The sequence below is a fragment of the Homo sapiens genome, chromosome 15 (genome assembly GCF_000001405.40).
Source record: "Homo sapiens chromosome 15, GRCh38.p14 Primary Assembly".
Classification (NCBI taxonomy): domain Eukaryota; kingdom Metazoa; phylum Chordata; class Mammalia; order Primates; family Hominidae; genus Homo; species Homo sapiens.
In genome coordinates this window covers 74321706-74341762 of record NC_000015.10, presented here as the reverse complement: position 1 = coordinate 74341762, position 20057 = coordinate 74321706, and the positions used below count along the sequence as shown (strand labels likewise).

The window sequence follows — 20057 nt, the reverse complement described above, 5'->3', positions numbered from 1 at the left end:
TTTAAAGGTTCTATCTCCAAATATAGTCACATTTGAGGTTCTGAGGGTTAGGACTTCAGCAGATGAATTTTGGGAGGGGGTATACAGCTCAGCCTATAACAGGGAGGCAGCAGTGTGAACGGAGGAATAGCACACTGCAGTGACAGAGGCAAGCACCTGCCACTGACAAAGCTGAGAGGTGGGGAGTGGCTAATGTGGCCATGAAGGACACGGAGAAGGCTCCACAGAGGAGCTAAAATTCAACGTGCGTGTCTTGCAGGCTGTTGCCAGGAGGAGAGAGAAGGAATAGCATTTCAGGACTAGGGAGAAGCACATGTCAAGCCCCCTGGGTGAATCACTTTCATTCCCAGGTATTATATCTGTGTTACACTCTGATGAAGGAGTTTCCATCCCTGAGACAGACTGCAAATGGAGCCTTTGAGCATACCTTAAACATAGTTCATTGTCTATTACGTAGAAGAGATCTTCAAAAATCACTCACCGGCACCAAAGAAACGATTACTGTGAGGTCACATTTATTAAGCACATACTATATGGCAGGCAGGGTCCTAAGCTGTTTACATATGTTACCTCATTTAATACTCACAAACAACCCTCTAAGGTATGTTACCATCATCCCCCTTTTTCAGATGAGGAAAGTAGAGCACAGAGAGGTTAAATAACTTGGTCGAGGTCACACAGCTAGTAACATAGTTAACCACCTTATTAAATCCCAAGTACATCTCTATGGCAGGCCTTGGCAGTACTGAGATGAATACACACATTTGATTAGAGTCTTGCAGAGGGAGCACATCCTTCCTTCTTAGGCGGGGAAGGGAATTCCAGGAAGAGGACCTAGCGTGGGGAAGACTTCTGGGCTTCAGGGGCTGTGTGCCACTCCATGTAGCTGGAACATTAGGTGTGTGTTGGAGAGAGGTGGGGAGTGGGGTATTGGGGAGCAGCAGGCAGGTGTTGAGGGGCCCTGTGGCTCAGGCCTGAGCCTCTGTATTTCATCTGGAGGCTCTGGGGAGCCAGGCAAGGATTTTAAGCTGAGAAGGAGCTGTGTGTTGTTTCAGTTTCCGCATCTGAAAAAGGGGGATGATGGTAACATACCTTAGAGGTTTGTTTGTGAGTATTAAACGAGGTAACATATGTAAACAGCTTAGGACCCTGCCTGCCATATAATATATGCTTAATAAATGGTACCTCACAGCTTGTCATTGTTGCCCCTGCCAGGAGGAGGGAGGTGGGTGTCTAAGTCTGTTGGACAAAAATATGATCCTTGGTAAGATAATGTGTCAACAACCCATGTCCTAGTCCCCAGGAGGGAGGGCTGCTCCAGGCTGGAGTCCCAAACGGGCCTGGTTTGTCATCATTGAGGAATCTGGGACTGTGGGGTTTGATGAGGGTCACTCAGATCTCTGGCGAAGGGCTAGTGGTCACAGCCTCTGGCTTACGTTGAGATTAGCTGATTAATTTCAACACACACCACACCCTAATTGCAACACTGATAGGAAACATCCGGCTGGTCTGGTTTCAGCTTCTTTGAGCCTTACTTGAAGCCATGTTGCTATAGGTGAAGCCTAAGGTTTTAGGAAGTTCTACTGGAAAGAGGGGTGGTTGTTTAACAAGGCATTTCAAAAGGAATGGCAGTCATTCTGGAGTGCAATCATTACAGAAGGATTTGGCCTCTAAGGGCCTCTGGAATTCTTTGGAAGAAGGCATTGGCTGTGTAGCTGACACTCTACTCACTGTGGACATGGGTGGGTTTTTGGTGACATGAGGGACGAGGGCAGGGACAAGTGCTGCCCTGAATGTTCCTGCCTGGCCGGCAAGAAAGGCTTCTTGGACATTTGCCTTTTAGACAATGGAATGTGTTTTGCTCTTGCAGAGGATGGTCTTGGAGACTGGGATGGGGTTCGGGGAGAAAGAGGTTCTTGGAAATGAAAATTTACCATGGGGTCAAGGACCTCAAGGGGCCCCGGAGTGACAGGCCCTCCTGGTCTTCTGTATACCCTACTCCCCACCAGACGTCCATGACCCTGCAGTGGCACTTGTATGAGATGGCACGCAACCTGAAGGTGCAGGATATGCTGCGGGCAGAGGTCTTGGCTGCGCGGCACCAGGCCCAGGGAGACATGGCCACGATGCTACAGCTGGTCCCCCTCCTCAAAGCCAGCATCAAGGAGACACTAAGGCAAGCCCACAACCACCCATGCCGCCCCCAACTCCAATCCCTGGGCAGGGCCAGGGAAGTGCCCGGGGAAAGGGTTACGAGGATGGGCTGGTGGAGGAGGTTGGAAGCAGGAAGTGAAAAGTCTGGAGGAGAAAGAAATAGAGCCAGGGCCCTACCCCCAGGTCCCCCCAGGCTGCTGCAGCTAGGGCTGAGATGCCACACAGGGTGTGGGGCTCCGGCGGCTGTGTCCAGCCTTTGGGGCCATCAGCTTCTGAGTGCCCTCCTCCCGCAGACTTCACCCCATCTCCGTGACCCTGCAGAGATATCTTGTAAATGACTTGGTTCTTCGAGATTACATGATTCCTGCCAAGGTAGGTGCAGCCAGCAGGCTGCAGGCTCTGCCAGTCAGAGAGGGCTGGGGCAGGCTGGAATTGCAGACAGAGGGTGGCACTGGGGCCCTGGTGGGGCCCTTGATGGCAGCAGTCTAAGTCTGAATGAAGGGCAGAGGTGGTGGGCATGGTGGGCGGTGACCTCTAGGATGTTATTGGAACCCAGGGTTAGGAGGGAGACTTCATGATTTGCCTGGGTCTGAGGAAAGGGTGGGACAATCATCCTGGCCTTGGGTCTTCAGCCATCCCCATTTGGTGGGTAAGGATTACAGAGGGGCGGGGCCTTGTTCAAGGCTGCACAGTGGGCAGAATGTCCTGCCCTGGAGAGCTGGGCAGCCATGCTGGGGAGTGGGAGTGGTGGTGAGAGGGCAGGGGACTAGGGAAGGGGGTTTTGTGCTCAGGGCTGTGGGGAAGTGGGGCTTACTCAGGCCTCTGATCACCTTGCCCCAGACACTGGTGCAAGTGGCCATCTATGCTCTGGGCCGAGAGCCCACCTTCTTCTTCGACCCGGAAAATTTTGACCCAACCCGATGGCTGAGCAAAGACAAGAACATCACCTACTTCCGGAACTTGGGCTTTGGCTGGGGTGTGCGGCAGTGTCTGGGACGGCGGATCGCTGAGCTAGAGATGACCATCTTCCTCATCAATGTGAGTCAAGCTGGGGACATCTAGGCACCCTGGGCTGGCCCTGGCCCTAATGAAGGCACCAATCTTCCTCCTCCTATCTCTGTCCAGAGCCCAAGGATGTCAGTGCTGGGGCGCATCTACCTCCAGTTACTTGCTCTCGCTCTCTCCCACAGTTCTCTGCTGCCCCCTCTTTCGGGCTCAACCACTCATCACCCACTGATGCCCCTGGCCATCCATTCCCCATGGTGGTGATGGGATGGGATAGGACTGAGGTTTGTAGACAAGTTAAGGTCTAGGCCTAAATCAAGGAAATGCAGCACTAAGGGTGCATTATCAGGCACTGTGCAGGGTTACACCAGGAGCTGGTGGTGAACTCCTTGGAACTCCTCAAATCACACTCCACAGGCACTGCCTATGGGTGAATTGGCCTGGCTAGGGAGACAGATCCTCCCCTGCCCTCCCCTAAACCTACCATCTGCCTTTCTCAGATGCTGGAGAACTTCAGAGTTGAAATCCAACACCTCAGCGATGTGGGCACCACATTCAACCTCATTCTGATGCCTGAAAAGCCCATCTCCTTCACCTTCTGGCCCTTTAACCAGGAAGCAACCCAGCAGTGATCAGAGAGGATGGCCTGCAGCCACATGGGAGGAAGGCCCAGGGGTGGGGCCCATGGGGTCTCTGCATCTTCAGTCGTCTGTCCCAAGTCCTGCTCCTTTCTGCCCAGCCTGCTCAGCAGGTTGAATGGGTTCTCAGTGGTCACCTTCCTCAGCTCAGCTGGGCCACTCCTCTTCACCCACCCCATGGAGACAATAAACAGCTGAACCATGTGGTGTCTTGCGTTCCATCAGACTCATTAGGTGTTCATCACTCCCGTGGAGATGCTTCCTGTGTTAAAGCAGGATCTGGGCATGCTCAGGAGACCCCAGGTAGCCACACTTGAAGCCACCTCTGCTGGGACCCCCTCACCCATGGCAGTTCAGGAGCCAGCAGAATCAACTCCAGGCTCCCTGGGGCAAGGGGTGAGGCAGAGTGGGGCAGAGGAGGGGAGGCAACTGCTACTGTGCCAGGAGCTACAGAAGCATCAGGCAGAAGGACAAAGGAGAACTGGGGAGTTCTGTGGGTGGCCCCAAGAAGTGTGGGCCAGTACTGCCTTTCTGAGTGGACCTGCCCCACAGGGGTAAGGCTCGCACAGGGCTCTGCTTGGGTGAACTCTGGGTGGGAGTTCCCTGTGGGGCATGAGGACTTCCTGCCAAGGCCCAGCCAGAGTCCTGGGCATGGCAAAGGCCGAGAACTGTGGGTGAGAACCCCTGCTACTGAAGGGCTGGTGTGAGGTGGCTGACTGGGGATGAGAGGCCAGCCTGCTTCCTTTACCATTCCCGGGCCTCCTCTGGGCTTGCTCCAGGCCTCGTGTTCTTGCTCTGGGGGCTTGCGCCCCCTTGTCCAAGGGTGGGAGGTGGGGATACTATTCTGCAGCAGAGCCGCTGGTTTGTCATTTGGACTGAATGACACTGGTCTCGACTTCCGCCCCCTAATCCCTTGGGGTCTCCCAACTCCTGACCTGATTCCTCTTGGCCCTCGGCTATCCAAGTCTAAGTCCTGCAGGCAGGTGGGGGAGCTAGTCCAGCTGAGGCCAGTGGTCCAGCTGGCCTGGCCTCTCCTGCCCGAAGCTGTGGGATCTGGATCCACTCTTGGAGCCCTTCTGCTTTCCCCACCACAAAATCCTCTTCCCTGTTGTCTTTGTCTTTCCTTCCTGTGTCCTTTTTCTTCTCTGGTCCTGAGTCAGCTTTGACTCAGAAATGTTATAGCTGGAAAGAGGCTTACAGCCAATGAGGTCAAGCTCTACATGGAATAGATGGGGAAACTGAAGTCCAGAGAGGTTGCTTGGGTCCCTTGAGGTCACACAGCCTGTTTGCCCCCAGAACCTGGGCCTCCTGACTCCCTGTAGGTGCCTCCTTTCCCCTGGCCCAATCTGCTCTCCTGCCCCGGCTACATTTGGACACATCATTGCCAGCTCAGCCTAGTGGCTTAATGGAGTATTTCACAATGATACGTGACTGCCACAGGAAGGCTTCAAGCCTCCAAGTCTTTCCCTTTCCAAGAGACAGACAAACCAAACTTGAAAGAAGGAATATCAGACATGATAGATGTTTTGGGGCAGATGAAAAGGACAAGCCTCCCTCGTATTTCCCAACAGAGCTGGTCTCTGGTGGCCTTGCTTCTTCTCCGGGTCTGGAAGGGGCCCGTCTCCCTGGCCCCTGCTTTGGAAGGCCTCTTCTCTCCACCCTCCTGGGTCCACTGTGGCCCTTGGCTTTCCAAAGATGCTGGCTCCTGGGGCAGGCGGGAGGCTGTAAGGCTGCAGCAGAAGACCCAGGCCCAGGCCCAGAGTGAGGTCTAGGAGGAGGAAGCAGGGCCCCCAGGCTGCCCTGCTCCAGGAAAGAGGAAAATGCTCACAGAGCTACAACATTTAATAACGTCATTTTTAGGGGGCGGTGATGAGACTCCCCAGCACACAGGGAAGGAGGCCTGCTCTGGGGCTCAGGTCTGCTGAGAGTTAGCGGTCTCCTTCTGGGGGCTCAAGGGCTTGTTGAGCTTAGAGTCTGAGCTGGGCAGCAGGGGCTCCAGCTCTGAGGGCTGCTTGAGGTCCATGGAGTGGGTGAGGGCACTCTGTGGTGTGCAAAGCGGGGTGCGTGAGTACCCCCCATTCCCAGGGGGTGACCTGCTCAAGGGCATATTGCCTGACAAACCAGGCCTCAGAGTATCCAGAATCCAGTGGGCCATGACCTGGCAAAGATTTCTAAACCCATTTTGCCACAGCAGGTGACACCTAATTTCTCCAAGGGTCCCCAGGGCTCAGGTGAGTGTGCAAAGGTTGCCTTTGTTCCTTGCCTGTTCCCTCATCCTTTCCAGGCCTTTCCCAGGAGCCGCTGCTGAGCTTCTGGCCACGGGCAAAGCACAGCTGGCTCAAGAGCAGGAGAAGTCAGGGTCTTTGCTTTGCGGGGCTGGGCGGTCCCGGGGTTGAACTTGAGGGGCAGTTGTGAGCAGGCCTGTTTGTTCTCGGGAAGTTGGCAAAGTGGAGCCTACATCGTGGCCATCTGAGAAGGGTGTGCTAATTTGAGAATCTTAGGCTCTATGGATTCAGGGGGGTAGGGCCACAAGCTACTCTGCCCATGAGCGCAGCCAGTCCTAAAGCACAGTGTCAGGGCATCCTGGAGATGCCTGCATGGACCCCTCATCCACAGTCATCTCCTTGAGTTTCACAGCACCCCATGGGGGAAAGGGTAGTTTTGGCAGGGGTTTTCTGTTCCCCTTAGACAGGTGGGGGAATTAAGACCGAGCCTTCGGTTGGTAATGGAGCAGGAATGGGAGCCTAGGACTCCTGACCCCCAGCCCTGGAGTTGGCTCCACAATGGCTTTTCTCAGGGCCCAGTGACTTTGGGGGTGCGGTGGCTTCCTGCTCCACCACCTGAACCCCTGGGAGCTACTCCAGGGGGGTCACTCACAGGCTGTTCTATGATGATGGAGTTCGAGGGGTGCCTGAAACCTTTTTCTTGCTCCTGCAGCCGTGTGGCCAGATCCTGCTTCTCTCGTCCCCAGCGTCGAGCTGAGTCCTCTAACTGCAGACACAGAGAGGGACAATTGGAGGACCATGGGCAGCAGGGCTAATCCCTGATGGCCAGGACAACCAGGGCCTGAGCCTGCTGTCCAGGCAGAAAGCAAAGCTCTGGGCCATGTGGGCTTGACACCTTCCCGAGACCTCAGGGGTGGCGGGGTGAGGGTGAGGGGGCCAAACAGTCAGGCAGCCTGACCAAGACACAGATGGACATTTCAACAACATACTGAGCTCTGATCCTGAGTCCACACTGATCCCTGATTCTGGTCATAGACAGAGCCTGACCCTGGTCACACAATGAACCCTGACCCTGGATATACACTGAACCCTAACCCTGGTCATACACAGAACCCTAACCCTGGTCATACACAGAACCCTAACCTCGTTGTACACGGAACCCTGACCCTGGTTGCACACTGAACGCTGACTCTGGTCACACACTGAATCCTAACCCTGGCTGCACACTGAACCCTGACCCTGGTTGTATACTGAACCCTAACCCTGGTCGCACACTGAACCCTGACCCTGGTTGTACACTGAACCCTGACCCTGGTCACACACTGAACCCTAACCCTGGTCACACACTGAACCCTGACCCTGGATGTACACTGAACCCTGACCCTGGTCACACACTGAACCCTAACCCTGGTTGTACACTGAGCCCTGACCCTGATTGTACACTGAACCCTGACCCTGGTCACACACTGAACCCTAACCCTGGTTGTACACTGAACCCTGACCCTGGTTGCACATTGAACCCTAACCCTGGTAACACACTGAACTCTAACCCTGGTTGTACACTGAACCCTGACCCTGGTTACACACTGAACCCTAACCCTGGTTGTACACTGAGCCCTGACCCTGGTTGCACACTGAACCCCGACCCTGGCCACACACTAAGCCTTGATCCTGGTCATAGATTGAGCCTAGACTCTGCTCACACACTGAGCCCTGGTTATAGGCTGTGTGGTGAGCCTGATCCAGCCTCATCAACTCCTGCATCTCACCCACCTGGCTTTCCAGGGACAGGATCCGGCTCTGAGCGTGTTCCAGCTTGGCCAGGAGGTTGAACTTGTCTGAAGTACCAGAGAGGAGATCCTGTGGGCAAAGCACAAACTCACATTTGGCCCCAGCTGGAGGCTGTGGCAGTGTGAGCTTGGGAAACCATAAGGTATTGAGGAAGAAACCAGTCAGGCCTGAGTTCAGACTGAGCTCCCGAGGCAGAGCGTCAGACCTGGGCCGAACCCTCTTCTGGAAGTTCAGAACAGGGTCTGGCATGTGCTTTTTTCACAGCTGTTTCCCACACAGATTTTGAGAATACGAAGTTTTGACACAACATTTTTTTTAATGTAAAATGCATTAGGGAGCCCCCTATAATTAACGCACTGGGAGTCTTTGAGTGAAGTGAAGAACCTGTGAGGCAGTTGACCTCATCCCTCACACTTTACCTGGATGTCCATGAGTCAGGTGTGCTTTCAACAGAACTCACCTCCGGCGAGTCCTGGGATGGAGAGAAAACTCTCCTGTGCCCCTGCCCTGCCCAATATTCTGTGATTCCAAATGTTCTGCTTTGGGGTTTATGTAAAGCAAGGGGCCCCTGAAGCATCTTCAGAGGTGGAGCAGGGCCTGGGCATTTCTGGGCCCTGGGCCACCCACCTGTGCGGGCAGGGTCTCTGTGCACTCTGAGTGGCCTGGGCCATGCGTCTCTTGTAGCCTCTCTGTCAAGTCTCCTCCTGCTCCCAACTCCCCGGGGTCCACCTGGGATGGAAAAGGGCTCTCCAAGGCTGCACCAAGACCAGGGAATGCTCCAGAAGGGAGTTTTGAGAGGCCTGTGTAGGGTCCAGGTGGAGGCCAGCCAGGTGAAAAAGGGGTCAGGGTTCAGGGACCAAGGGTCAACAAGGGGCTTGCTTTCTCCTGGGATGCTAGATGAGGTTAAAGGTGAAGTGTTCGGGGACACACATTCCGCAGGAGAAAAAGACCAAGGCCTGAGAGCTGATTCCAGGAGCCCCCAGGCAGACTGGAGACCCTGGGAAGCTTAGCTCCTGGTCTTGATCTTCAACTTGGGTTGTACCATGGGTGATTTCTGGGCACCCAGTGACCGGCATAGGCAGGCCCAGGTCAAGGGCCTCTTACCGGCAGGGCCTGTTGCTGCAGAATGATGGGGGCCTGCTGGTGGCGGTTCTTATCCAGCTCCGTCCGCAGCTTCGCGTTTTCTGCCAGCAGCACCGAGTAAAGTTCAACCGGCAGGTTCTCTCCCATAGAACCCAAGGGAAGGCCAGAGGCTGAGAGCATAGGGAAGCCTAGAGACACGGCCACAGATGTTGGTGAGATGGGCTCTCCTGCTTCCCATGTCCCTGTCCTGATCTGCTCCAGCATTTTGCTTCAATCTGCCACCCCTCCCCTCTACTCCCAAGCCTTCAATGGCTCCCTACCACCAGTGGGATCAGGTGCACACAGGCTGTCCTTCTAGGCTCTTTAGAACCTGACCTCAACGTTCTCTCTAACTCCTCATTTGTCTTCAGTGTATTTCAGCTCCTCACCTCTCTCTCTTCCTCCCTTCTCTGATCCTGGAATTCTTCTCACTCCCTGGGCCTTTGATCTGGCTGTTTCCCCTCCCTAGGTTGCCTTCTCAGTCTCATCCAGACTCCTGGATGACCTCAGGCTTCCTGAAAGGCCAGCCCAGCTTTCATTGCATTCTAAAGGCTCCTAGAAACACCCTCCTGCCCCTGAGACCCTCAGCGGTGAAGGCTAAGCACAGGGCTGGGCACACAGGGGCCCTGGGTGAGGTTGCACAGGCAGGCTCAGGGAAATCCCTTGCTTTGGGCTGGCCTGATATGGTGTTACCTGGTCCTTTCTGCTTATCAGAGGCTGATTGGCAGTTTTAGGTGGCTTTTGGTTAATATCGATGGGGAAGAAAACCTCCAAATCATTTATTTATTTATTTATTTTGAGGCGGAGTCTCCCTCTGTCACCCAGGCCGGAGTACAGTGGCACAATCTTGGCTCACAGCAACCTCTGCCTCCTGGGCTCAAGTGATTCTCCTGCCTCAGCCTCCCAAGTAGCTGGGATTATAGGTGCCCGCCACCATGCCCAGCTAATTTTTGTATTTTTAGTAGAGATGGGGTTTCACCATGTTGGCCAGGCTGGTCTTGAACTCCTGACCTCAAGTGATCTGCCCTCCTCGGCCTCCCAAAGTGCTGGGATTACAGGCATGAACCATTGCGCCTGGCCCCAGATCATTGATTTAATCAAAGTATTTTTGTTTGTTTGCTTTGCAGAGGCAGAATCTTTGGCGGTATGGGGAAATAATTCGACGGATCCTGGGGCTAGGAGCTGGGAAGTGTTGCCCCAGGTGGCCCTTCTTCAGGGGAAGGCCCTCTCTGCTGTGCTAGTCTGCAGGGCCCTCCTCTGGAGGTCCACCCTCTTTCTAGCCTGGCTCACACTGCATCCCAATTGTGTTCTGAGGGGCTTCCAGGGAAGGAGGGAGCTCAGGGGATCTCTGGATGGGGCGCCTGAATGAGGAGGGGAGCAGGGCAATCCTGGGTCTCCCAGGCCCACAGACATAACTGAGTGCAGGGGACCTCTTCGCAGGTTCTCCTGAAGCTGAGAGGCTCCAGGAAGGCAGGGCCTCCAGGGGTGGAGCAGAAGCTGGGGAGCTGATCACATCAGGGTGTGGACCCACCCGTGTAGGGCTTTCCCTGCTGCCTGTTCAGAGGAGGGGGCTTGCTCCTGTCCTGCAGCCTGTCCTCCAGCACCCGCTCCATCTTCTCGATCACCTGGAGAGCAGAGCAGAGGCTGGGCTGGCCCAGGGGCTCCCTACTCTGCCATCATCAGTTGGCCTCGGGGGCAGCCCCTCTGCCACCTGCCTTCTCTTGGTGCCGCACAGTCTCCTCCAGCGCCTTCATCTTCTGCAGCTTGCCCTGGTACTGCTTCAGCAGAGCGGCCTGTGGCTGCTGGGCCTGATACAGAAGGAGCAGCTCCTTCTCTCGATCATTCTTCTGTGAGATGGGGGAGGAGAGAAGGGGAGAGAATGGGTGCCTGGGAGTCCACCTTGGCCCTGAGGGTCCACCTCGGCCCCTCTGCTGAATCCTCCACCAGGCTGGTCCCCCTTTCTTCCGTGCTTCCATTCCCTCTGTGCCTGTTCTCCCTTCTCCTCCCAGACTCTTCTCACCCCGATGCTCCCCCACCATAGCTCCCTCCCCTCTGCCCCCACAAGCCCCAGCTCACTCGAATCAGCTCATTCTGCAAATGCTGCACCCTGTCCCTCAGTTTCTTCATATCCAGCTCACTCAGCAGCAGTTTCTGCTTCATGGACACTGTTAGGTGGGTTGGGGAGCTGGCTCAGGGAGGAAGCCTCTCCCAGCTCAAATCAGCATGGTCAGTAGCAGGAAGGCAGATATCCCTTGGCCCGAGGGCTTGGGACGGGACTGGATTCTCTGTTTCCCATCCCTGAGAGGACCCAGCTGGGCAGGGACTGTGTGAGTGTCTGTGGGCGAGGGGCTCCTATTTGCCAGAGTCCAGCAGCATGCACATCTGGGAGAAGCTCCCAGCCACCCTATTGCACAACCTGGAGCCTGGGCCCAGGCAGAAGCCCGGGTGCCCTTGGTGGCCTGCACATCCTCACCCGTGTTCTGGGCCTCACTGGCTTTGCCCTGCCCCTCTTCCTCCTCCTGCTGGGCCAGGCGGCTCCTCAGTATGCGGTTCTCTCCTTCCAGGATGCTGGCCTGTCTCCGCAGAGACAGGATGTCCTCTGCCATCTTCTGCATGGCCCGCCGGTAGTTGTTCATCTCCTGTGGATCCCAGAGCCCAGAGCTGAGCCCACTGCCCCATAGCAACCCTGGTCCCACATCCACATCTACACTTGAAAGTCAGTGGGTCCCCCACAAGGCCAGTGAGCACCAGGAGCCCCAAGCCATGGCCCTAAGTCTTAGCAGCTCCCTGGAAGGGTGGTTATGACTTGATCCTCACCCATCCTGGCCATGTGAGGGCAGCCACACTAATGTTCTCTCCCCGGGGCCACATCACGTCCTGTGATACCAACTCAGGGGGAAACCCCAGGTGTGGACACAGGGGAGGAGGCCTATGGGCAATGGAGACTTGAGAAGATCCAGGGCCAGGTTTGCAGGGTCTGGCTCGATCATAGCTATTTCTTCACCTTTTCCCTCCTCCTTCCCCATCTTCTAACTCCTCTCATTCCTCACGTCACTGAGAACCCAGGGAAGAACCTCTCAGAAATCCCACTGGATGCCACTTGGAAGGTGACTGGGCATCAGCCCTCCAAACAGCTCAGTAGTCAGAGGACCCAAGGTCACCCTGGGAGACCCAGGTTAGAGCTTAGTGGAGGCTGGGATCCAGCTACAGGATGTGGGGTATGAGGTGGGGCTGGGGGCTGGAGTCAGCCATGAGGTCAGGAACAACAGCAATCCTAATGTCTGATGCTCATTGAGCATTCACTGTGTTCCAGGTCTTCTTCTAAGCTTTTTATGTGCCCTCCCTCAGTCCTCTCATCAGACCTGCGTGGATAGGTACTATTATCTCCGTTATACCAATGCGGAAACCAAGGCCCAGAGAGGTGAGTAACTTGCTCAGTTACAAGACTGATTAGTGATAGAGCCAGGGTCTGAAATCCAGGCCTGCAGGGACTTGAGCCTCTGTTCTGAAGAGCCGTGCAATTCTGCCATGAGGCCTCCATATGTGGACACTTCACAATACGCTGAGAAGTGATAAAAGCAGGCTACAAAAAGGAATGATCAGTGCAATCCCCAATCGAGAGAAAAAATCATGCCTGCCCATGTGCATGTATATATATATATATATGAAAATTAATAGGCTATATTTATATGCATTTGTTTTATAAGCAGAAATTCCCTACTGTTATTTATAAAGTTTCACAAAGGGAGTTTCTTAAATCTGAACAGCACAAAATAGAAAAGGATCGTGCAGTGGCACCATCATAGCTCACTGCAACCTCGATGTGAAGCCAGAGAGGTCTGGATGGAGGAACAGCAGGTGGGAGCTGGGATGGGGGAGGAAATGGGCATGGGGAAGTGAGTTTGCTCCTGCGTTTGCTGAGCCCCTGTGGCTGTGGGCTTCCTGAAGCTGTGGGAGGCTGTGTACATACGGGTGGGGACTCACACCTCCAGGAAGCAGAGCTCGGCCCCCAGCAACCACCTGGGCCTCATGCTGACTGCGGATATGGCCTGCCTTCTCAGCCACTGCCTCCCACCTGCTGCATGGCAGGCCATGGCTTCGAGAGCAGGGGTCTCCTGGCAGCAGGGGCCCACCAGACACCACTTGTCACCTGCCACTGTCTAGCCTTCTGGTTGGGCTCCCTCTAATTGCACCAGTGCCAGGTTCATCTCTCCAGCACTTGCCCCTGTTGAGTTCCAGGTCTTGGCTCCTCCAGATCTGCCCATCTGGTGTCCTCGGACAGCATTGTTAATGGAGAGACTCTGTCTAGAGACCACACACACACAGGGCTTTGCAGTCAGGCCCAGATCAGCAGGCCAGCTTGGCCACTCACATGCAGTGTGAGTTCAGCCAGGCCCCTTCACCTTTCTGAGCCTCAGAGTCCTCACACGGAGATGCCTGGTGTTGCTGTGAGGCTCAAGAGTTGGTGCGTGAAGCCCCTGCCCAGGCAGGTATAATTTGGAGGCTGCTGCTCTCCTCCACACCCATTTCTATTCTAATCACTGCTTTAATCAACAGGTCAGACCCCTTCCTCTTCCTCCTTGCTGCCCCCAGAGCTCCCAGGCCCTTCCTTTGCTGTGCTCTAAATCTTCAGTTTATGGCAGCCCATTACTGATGGGGGACTGACCAAAGGAAGCACACGATATTTTGGCAAAGGAAATTTGGCCCCTTCTTTCTTTGCCCAGCCTGGTTCAAGCTCTTAGCATATCTGCCCTGGACAATTACAGCAGCATCCAAATGGGTTTTCTTGGCTTCCAGCGAAACACGCACACACACATCCAGGAAAATGCATGCAGGGATGCTCACTGCAGCACAGCTTGTGGTCTTATATGAGGGCATGCTCAGTCTCTGCACCACAGGCTGTGGTCACAAAGGATGACCCAGATTTTATTATACTGACACACAGAGATGGCCACGCTCTATTGTGAAAGGAAAGTGCATGTGGCAAATTAATACGATCCTGTCCATAACCGGGTTGTGAGCATGCTCATGGAGTGAGTCCTGGGGGAGGGGGCTGCCAGTTCCTCAGCCCACCCCATGGGTCTGATCACCCCCTCTTCTCATTCAGAGGGTCATTTTTTCTAAGACCCTCCTGTTCTCCAACTCAGCTGTTTTGGGGCATGAGCAGAGCTCTGTTATTTTTATTTTTGTTTTGTGACGGAGTCTCACTCCATCACCCAGGCTGGAGTGCAGTGGCACAATCTTGGCTCTCTGCAAACTCTGCCTCCCAGGTTCAAGCCATTCTCTGGCCTCAGCCTCCCAAGTAGCTGGGACTACAGGCGTGCACCACCACGCCCAGCTAATTTTTGTCTTTTTAGTAGAGATGGAGTTTCACCATGTTGGTCAGGCTAGTCTCGAACTCCTGACCTCAGGTAATCTGCCCGCCTCAGCCTCCCAAAGTGCTGAGATTAGAGGAATGAGCCACCGCACCTGGCCCAGAGCTCTGTTATTAACACCTCGCTTTGACAGACAAAGAAAGCTGGGGCCCAGAGCGAGGAAGGAGATGGAGGGAGAGCATGGCTTCTGGTGAGGCCGCGTCCCTGTCTCAGTCAGACGGTCCCTGCTGGACTCCACTCCTCGGAGACTAGTCCTATAGGCCTCCACAGGTGCCTATCCCCCTCCCCCACCAAGCCTGGCTGCTCTCTGAGAGAGAGGGCTCCCCCAGGGCATGGAGAGGGATCTCGGCCCTGGCTTACCCCTCAGTCTGTATGCTCTCTTCCCTCTACATCTGTGGGAAACTGAAGGACCTGCTTTCCCTCCTCGGCTTCCCCCACCCGCACAGCAGTGACCTTGAGCAGCACAGCTGGTCTGGGAGGACACTGCCTGCAGATGAGCAGCCCTGACCACTCCCTACAGCCTGGAGCTGGGCCTCCCCAACCCCCAGGGCCATGCTCTGCGTCACAGCCCAGCCTTGAGAACAGGAAGGACACCATGGCCCAGATTCCTGTTGTGGTCCTGCTGACTCCCCTGCTCCAATCCCTCCCCTCCAGCCCCCTCCCCACTTTCCAGTCTGCTGGGGGAGGGTCAGGCACCAGCCACTTCCCTGTCTTGTCCCTAGGCTTAGCCTCCTCTAGAAGGACTGACTCCAAAGCCATTGTGCCTAAGGCTAGTGCCCACTGCATTCTCCTCACCCATTGACACTGCGCTTTCCCCATCCAAGACCCAGCTATCAGATCCTGCCCAGGTGAGAAATGTCAGGTGTCCTTGGGTTTGAATTGCCCCACTGCCACTGAGCGCTGGTGGCCTTTGCTGCACCGACACCTTCGCTTTGGCTCTGGAAGGGAGGCTGTTCTCTGAGCCTTAGCGTCCTCATCCGTGGAATGGGAAAATCACCCCACCCCAAGGGGGGTTGCTGTGGAGAGAGAGGGGGCATGAACAGTGCCAGCCCAGGCTCTGGCACACAGGGTGCCTGGCAACAGCATCTCTTTTTCCTCCACCACCTTCTGAGTGCTTTCTTGTTTTCCAAGATGGAGACTTACTCTGTCACCCAGGCTAGAGTGCAGTGGCATGATCATAGCTCACTGCAACCTCGAACTTCTGGGCTCAAGTGGTCCTCCTGACTCAGCCTCCCAAGTAGCTGGGACTACAGGTGTGTGCCACCATGCCTGGCTAATTTTTAAATTTTTTGTAAAGATGGGGCCTTGCTATGTTGCCCAGGCTGGTCTTGAACTCCTAGCCTCAAGAGATCCTCCTACCTTGACCTCCCAAAGTGCTGGGATTATAGGCATGAGCCATTCTGCCTGCCGTCGCACTTTTAATGGTTCTTATTATAACCCTGGGCAGTGGGCACAGAAGATATGATGATGTGACTACTTTCATTGTATAGAAACTGAGGACCAGTTCCCACGAAGGAGGAGGAATGGCGATTGTCTTTGTTTTTATGCTGGGAGTGGGGAGAAGGAGGAGCTGGGTTAGGGAGGGTGTGTTGGGGGTAAGGTACCTGCAGGGCCTTGGGTGCAGGAGGCCTAAAGAGGGTAATGCTTAACCCTTACCCACCCCCCGCAAAAAAATAAGAAGTGCTTCTGGCAGAATCTGAGGCACTGCATCCAATGACACCTGTGGCTACTTAGGGTCCTTATAAACTCATTGTAAAATGGGGAAGCTGAGATTGGAAGTAGTGTTCCCAAGGTCACAGAGACTCAGTGTAAAGGCTACATTGGAAGCAGCACAGTCATCAGCAGTTGCTGAAGGCCATGTCCACACTGGGGCCATGGAGCCCAGACCAGCCCAGACCGTCCCTGCTTGTGATGGTCTCCCATCTACACCAAGGAGATGGCAGTGACATCTGTGACAGAGGAGAGCTTACAGGAGTCTCTTTTCCTAGCCCCAGGTCTAGGAAGCCTTCCTGGAGGTGGTGATAGCCTGAGCTCACTCTAGGAGGGTGAGCAGGTGTTACCCGGGGTAGGGGAGAGGGCTCTTGGGCAGAGGAGACACTGTGGCAAAGGCAGGGAGGAGAGAGAGTGTATGATCAGGAACAAAGTCGGTGACTTCCTGGAGGGCAGAGTGCTGGTTGGGGAGTAAGTAGGGGTGTGGCCAATCTCAGGAGCTTGGATTCCATCCTGCAGGCCAGTGAAGGGCCTAAGCTGGAGGGGGTTTGTGGCAAGATGCCTCAGGCCACCAAGATGGACAGAGAAATGAATGGAGGCCCAGAGCAGGGAGCCAGGGACCCTTGCTGGGTGGAGGCAGACCAAGGAGGACTCAGCATGACAGAGTGAAGTGAACAACGAAGAGGAGGGTTGGGGATGGCAGAGCAGGAGGTTGGCAGGGGGCTAGGGTCTTTGGGTGGAGGAGGTGCATGCCTGTAGTGTGGAGGAGGAGGAGGTGGGGGAGGAGGGGGAGGAGTGGGAGAAGTCTGGGGCCTTTTGGTAGAGGTGCATGCCTGGAGTGGGAAGGAGGAAGAGGGGAGAAGGAGGAGGTGGGGGATGAGGAGAGGAGGAGCTGGGGTCTTTGGGTGGAGGAGGCGCAGGTCTGGAGTGGGAAGGAGGGGGAGCTGGGTTGGGGGAGGAGCGTGTTAGGGGTGAGGTACCTGCAGGGCCTCAGGTGCAGGAGGCCAGCAGTGGCTGATGGTGATCAAGCCTGGAGTGAATCCTGGTGGGGGACAGGTGGCAGGACAGCCCTGGTTCCATTGGAGCCTTGGGAAGGGAGCAGATTTTCAGCGTCTGGCAACTGTGGAGTGAGGAGGGGGTTCAAGGACAAGGGGTGGTAGGAGAGGAGCTCTCAGGACTAGCGCAATTGCCAGAGAGGTAGGAGGAAAAGCGGCGAGAGCAGGCTGGCAAGAGGGCTTCAAAAGGAGGACAACCACCTTCCGCTTGAGTCTTGCGGCTTGGATGATGGAGATGAACCCGCCGCTAGAGATGGTCTGAATGGGACACAAAGCAAAACTCACCTTCATAAAAACATTAAAGAACTGGCAAGTGAGTGAGGAATTATGGGGCAGAGATAGGGGCAGGTGGAGACCCATACAGCGGGATACTTCAGAGCAATAAGAAACCATGATGTGGGTGAACCTCACATACATCAAGGTGAGCAAAAGAGCCGTGTGCAAAGCAATGTGTATGTCACGGTGCCCTCTCCATGAAGGTAAAAATAGAAAATTTAGGCCAGAGTGATTCGAGAGGCATGCTCAGGTAGCGACAGTATAAAGAAGCAAAGCAGGTCAGGCACAGTGGCTCACACTTTTTTTTTTTTTTTTTTTTTTTGAGATGGAGTCTCTTTCTATTGCCTAGGCTGGAGTGCAGTGGTGTGATCTTGGCTCACTGTAACCGCCTCCCGGGTTCAGGCAATTCTCCTGCCTCAGCCTCCTGAGTAGCTGGGATTACAGGCGCCTGCCACTATGCCGGGCTAATTTTTTTTGTATTTTTAGTAGAGACGGGGTTTCACCATGTTGGTCAGGCTAGTCTCGAACTCCTGACCTCATGATCCGCCCACCTTGGCCTCCCAAAGTGCTGGGATTACAGGCGTGAACCAACCGGCAGCTTAACCCTTTAATCCCAGCACTTTGGGAGGCTGAGGCAGGCAGGTCACTCCAGGTCAGAAGCTTGAGACCAGCCTGACTAACATGGTGAAACCCCATTTCTACACAAAAGCCCAAAAAATAGCCGGGCGTGGTGGCGGGTGCCTGTAATCCCAGCTACTTGGCAGGCCGAGGCCTGAGAATCACTTGAACCCGGGAGGCGGAGGTTGCAGTGAGCTGAGATTATGCCACTGCACTTCAGCCTGGGTGATAGAGCAAGACTGTGTCCCAAAAATAAAAAAAATAATTAAAAAATAAAAAAATAAAGAAGCAAAGCAAGGACAGAAAGCTGGCAGAGTGATTACATCCAGGAGAGGAGGGGTGTGGCTGGGAGGGGCATGAGGGGCGTGAGGATGCTGGTGATGCTGTTTCCTGACCTGGGTGGTGGTTTCATGGACATTTGCTATATAATAATTTATAATAATTATGTTCTATATGTTCAATGCAATTTTTCTTAAATTGTGAAATGGGTTACATTTCACAATTTAAAAGAATTTTGGAAAAAGGAGAGAAGGCTTAGCAGTTTCCGGATCTGCAGAGGGAGCCTCTTGGTGTGGCCTGGAGGAAGTGACCTTGGCCAGTGCTCTGAATGCTGGGTGCTGTGGGTAAGGTCTGAGGGGACAGTGAGGTTGAGAAGGGTCAAAGGTAGCTAGGAAAACAGGGTCAAGGAGAGGCATAGTGGTGGAGAGAGAGGATTTCCTGGAGACTTAGAAGGTAAGAGGGAGGGATGCATAGGGGAGGTATGGGCTGGAGCAGGGGTAGGAGCGGGGAGGGGCTTCACTCTCCCAGAGAAGGAGGCCTGAGACAGGTTGCTGGGTCTGAGGTAGTGTGGGTGGCAGTCTGGCTAGTGTTGAAGTGGGTGCAGAGGGTGGGTTTGCTGGACCAGGCACACACCCTCTCCTCTGTCCCCTTCCTTGGGCGGCCACCCAATCTCAGGGTTCCCCGGATCCCCAGGATCCATCGCTGGCAGGCCCAGGCCATCTGCATGTGGTTTGCCTTTGCAGTCAGCAGAGGGCAGCCGCCTCCCACAGACACTCAGCTTCAGCCTGTGGTGGGATGAGGCCAACCTGAGTGGCCCACAGCTCATATTGTGGGGAAGGTGTGTGCGGAGCTGTCTCTCTCCCCAGTTCCAGGAGCACATGTCCTTCCTCCAGGTGGTCCAGCCAGCCTTCCAAGACCTCTAGCCCTGGAACCCCCATCTCACAAGTTCTGATATTGGGACCAGAGAGGTGCAGAGATTTGCCTGAAGTCACTCAGTGAATCTTGAACCTGGGGCCTCTATCCTGGGTTAGCTCCAGGGAAGATGTTGGGGCTGAGTGGTGAGGACAGGGGCTTGGGATGAGACCCATCTTGCAGTAACCCCAATTCTTCCCTGCTAGCTGCTAATTCCTTGCTGCCCTGAGACTGTGAGGAAGCCCAAACTAAGTGTATGGGAGAGAGCGAGGCCCACCCAGCCCTGGCTGCTCCCGCCCCTGCCCGTAGGTCGTCCCAGCTGAGGACTTAGACCTGCTGTGCCGTGGCTGAGTTCCTGACCCACAAAGCTATGAGATGTGATAATAAAAGAAAAAATTATCGTTTTAAATGATAACATTTTGGGGTAGTTTGTTATTGCAATAGGTAACTGGAACATCCTCTCTGGCCTCCAGACCCCTCCAATGACTCCCACTGGCCCTCATGGTAAATTTCCAACTTTGAATTTCCACCTCTTTCAGCACAGCTAGACCCCCTTTCAGAATTTAGCCCTGGCCACTCCACCCATGGGCCCAGCCTTCTGGGCCCCTATCTTCAAAGCCTTCCCTACCTCTGCCCAGAAGCTGTTTCTCGCCTACACCAGCCTGGCACTCCTCATCTGCCAAGGGCCACGCACATGCTCCCCCTTCAGCTCCTAAAGACCTTGATGGCAGGGAAGGGCCTCCCTGCCTCCCTGACTTACTCAGGCAAATCCTTTGACCCAGACCCTGCTCCTGCCAGATTTGCCAAACAGAACTCCTGTAGGTGTCCTTTGAATGTCAGAGAGGTCTCTCTTGGCTAATCTAAATTTCCCAATACTTTTAAAGGGAATTAACCACA

The 20057-nt window shown here is 54.7% G+C and overlaps 2 protein-coding genes across 19 annotated transcripts in view, besides 2 other annotated features; one reads left to right on the top strand and one right to left on the bottom strand.

Annotated features, from left to right (window-relative positions):
• The window catches only part of CYP11A1 (cytochrome P450 family 11 subfamily A member 1), a 29885-nt gene extending 25884 nt beyond the window's left edge, over positions 1 to 4001 (top strand). For both annotated transcript variants that reach the window (NM_000781.3, NM_001099773.2), the window contains exons 6-9: positions 2010 to 2176; positions 2448 to 2526; positions 2995 to 3192; positions 3660 to 4001. In NM_000781.3, the coding sequence (NP_000772.2) occupies positions 2010 to 2176; positions 2448 to 2526; positions 2995 to 3192; positions 3660 to 3791 (576 nt within the window). In that variant the 3' untranslated portion in view covers positions 3792 to 4001. The remainder of the gene's footprint in view (positions 1 to 2009; positions 2177 to 2447; positions 2527 to 2994; positions 3193 to 3659) is intronic.
• The window catches only part of CCDC33 (coiled-coil domain containing 33), a 133474-nt gene continuing 118707 nt past the window's right edge, over positions 5291 to 20057 (bottom strand). For 6 of the 17 annotated variants that reach the window (XM_047433141.1, XM_011522085.4, XM_011522087.2 and 3 more), the window contains 9 exons: positions 11409 to 11574; positions 11012 to 11100; positions 10651 to 10782; positions 10467 to 10560; positions 8918 to 9084; positions 8441 to 8542; positions 7796 to 7882; positions 6675 to 6788; positions 5291 to 5527 (listed from right to left, as the gene is read on the bottom strand). In XM_047433141.1, coding sequence (XP_047289097.1) covers positions 5306 to 5527; positions 6675 to 6788; positions 7796 to 7882; positions 8441 to 8542; positions 8918 to 9084; positions 10467 to 10560; positions 10651 to 10782; positions 11012 to 11100; positions 11409 to 11574 — 1173 coding nt within the window. In that variant the 3' untranslated portion in view covers positions 5291 to 5305. Of the gene's footprint in view, positions 5528 to 5621; positions 6789 to 7795; positions 7883 to 8440; positions 8543 to 8917; positions 9085 to 10466; positions 10561 to 10650; positions 10783 to 11011; positions 11101 to 11408; positions 11575 to 20057 lie in introns of those variants that run through there. The other 11 variants (XM_017022625.2, NM_182791.4, XM_017022626.3 and 8 more) reach the window with 8 other exon arrangements.
• Positions 13074 to 13575: an enhancer, noted in NCBI's record as "H3K4me1 hESC enhancer chr15:74620529-74621030 (GRCh37/hg19 assembly coordinates)". NCBI's record gives its function as "activates a minimal SCP1, AML or CMV promoter by ChIP-STARR-seq in naive H9 embryonic stem cells {active_cell/tissue: H9 hESC(naive)}" and the evidence as "EXISTENCE:reporter gene assay evidence [ECO:0000049][PMID:30033119]".
• Positions 18906 to 19025: a silencer, noted in NCBI's record as "silent region_6645". NCBI's record gives its function as "represses an Ori minimal core promoter by ATAC-STARR-seq in GM12878 lymphoblastoid cells {active_cell/tissue: GM12878}" and the evidence as "EXISTENCE:reporter gene assay evidence [ECO:0000049][PMID:35858748]".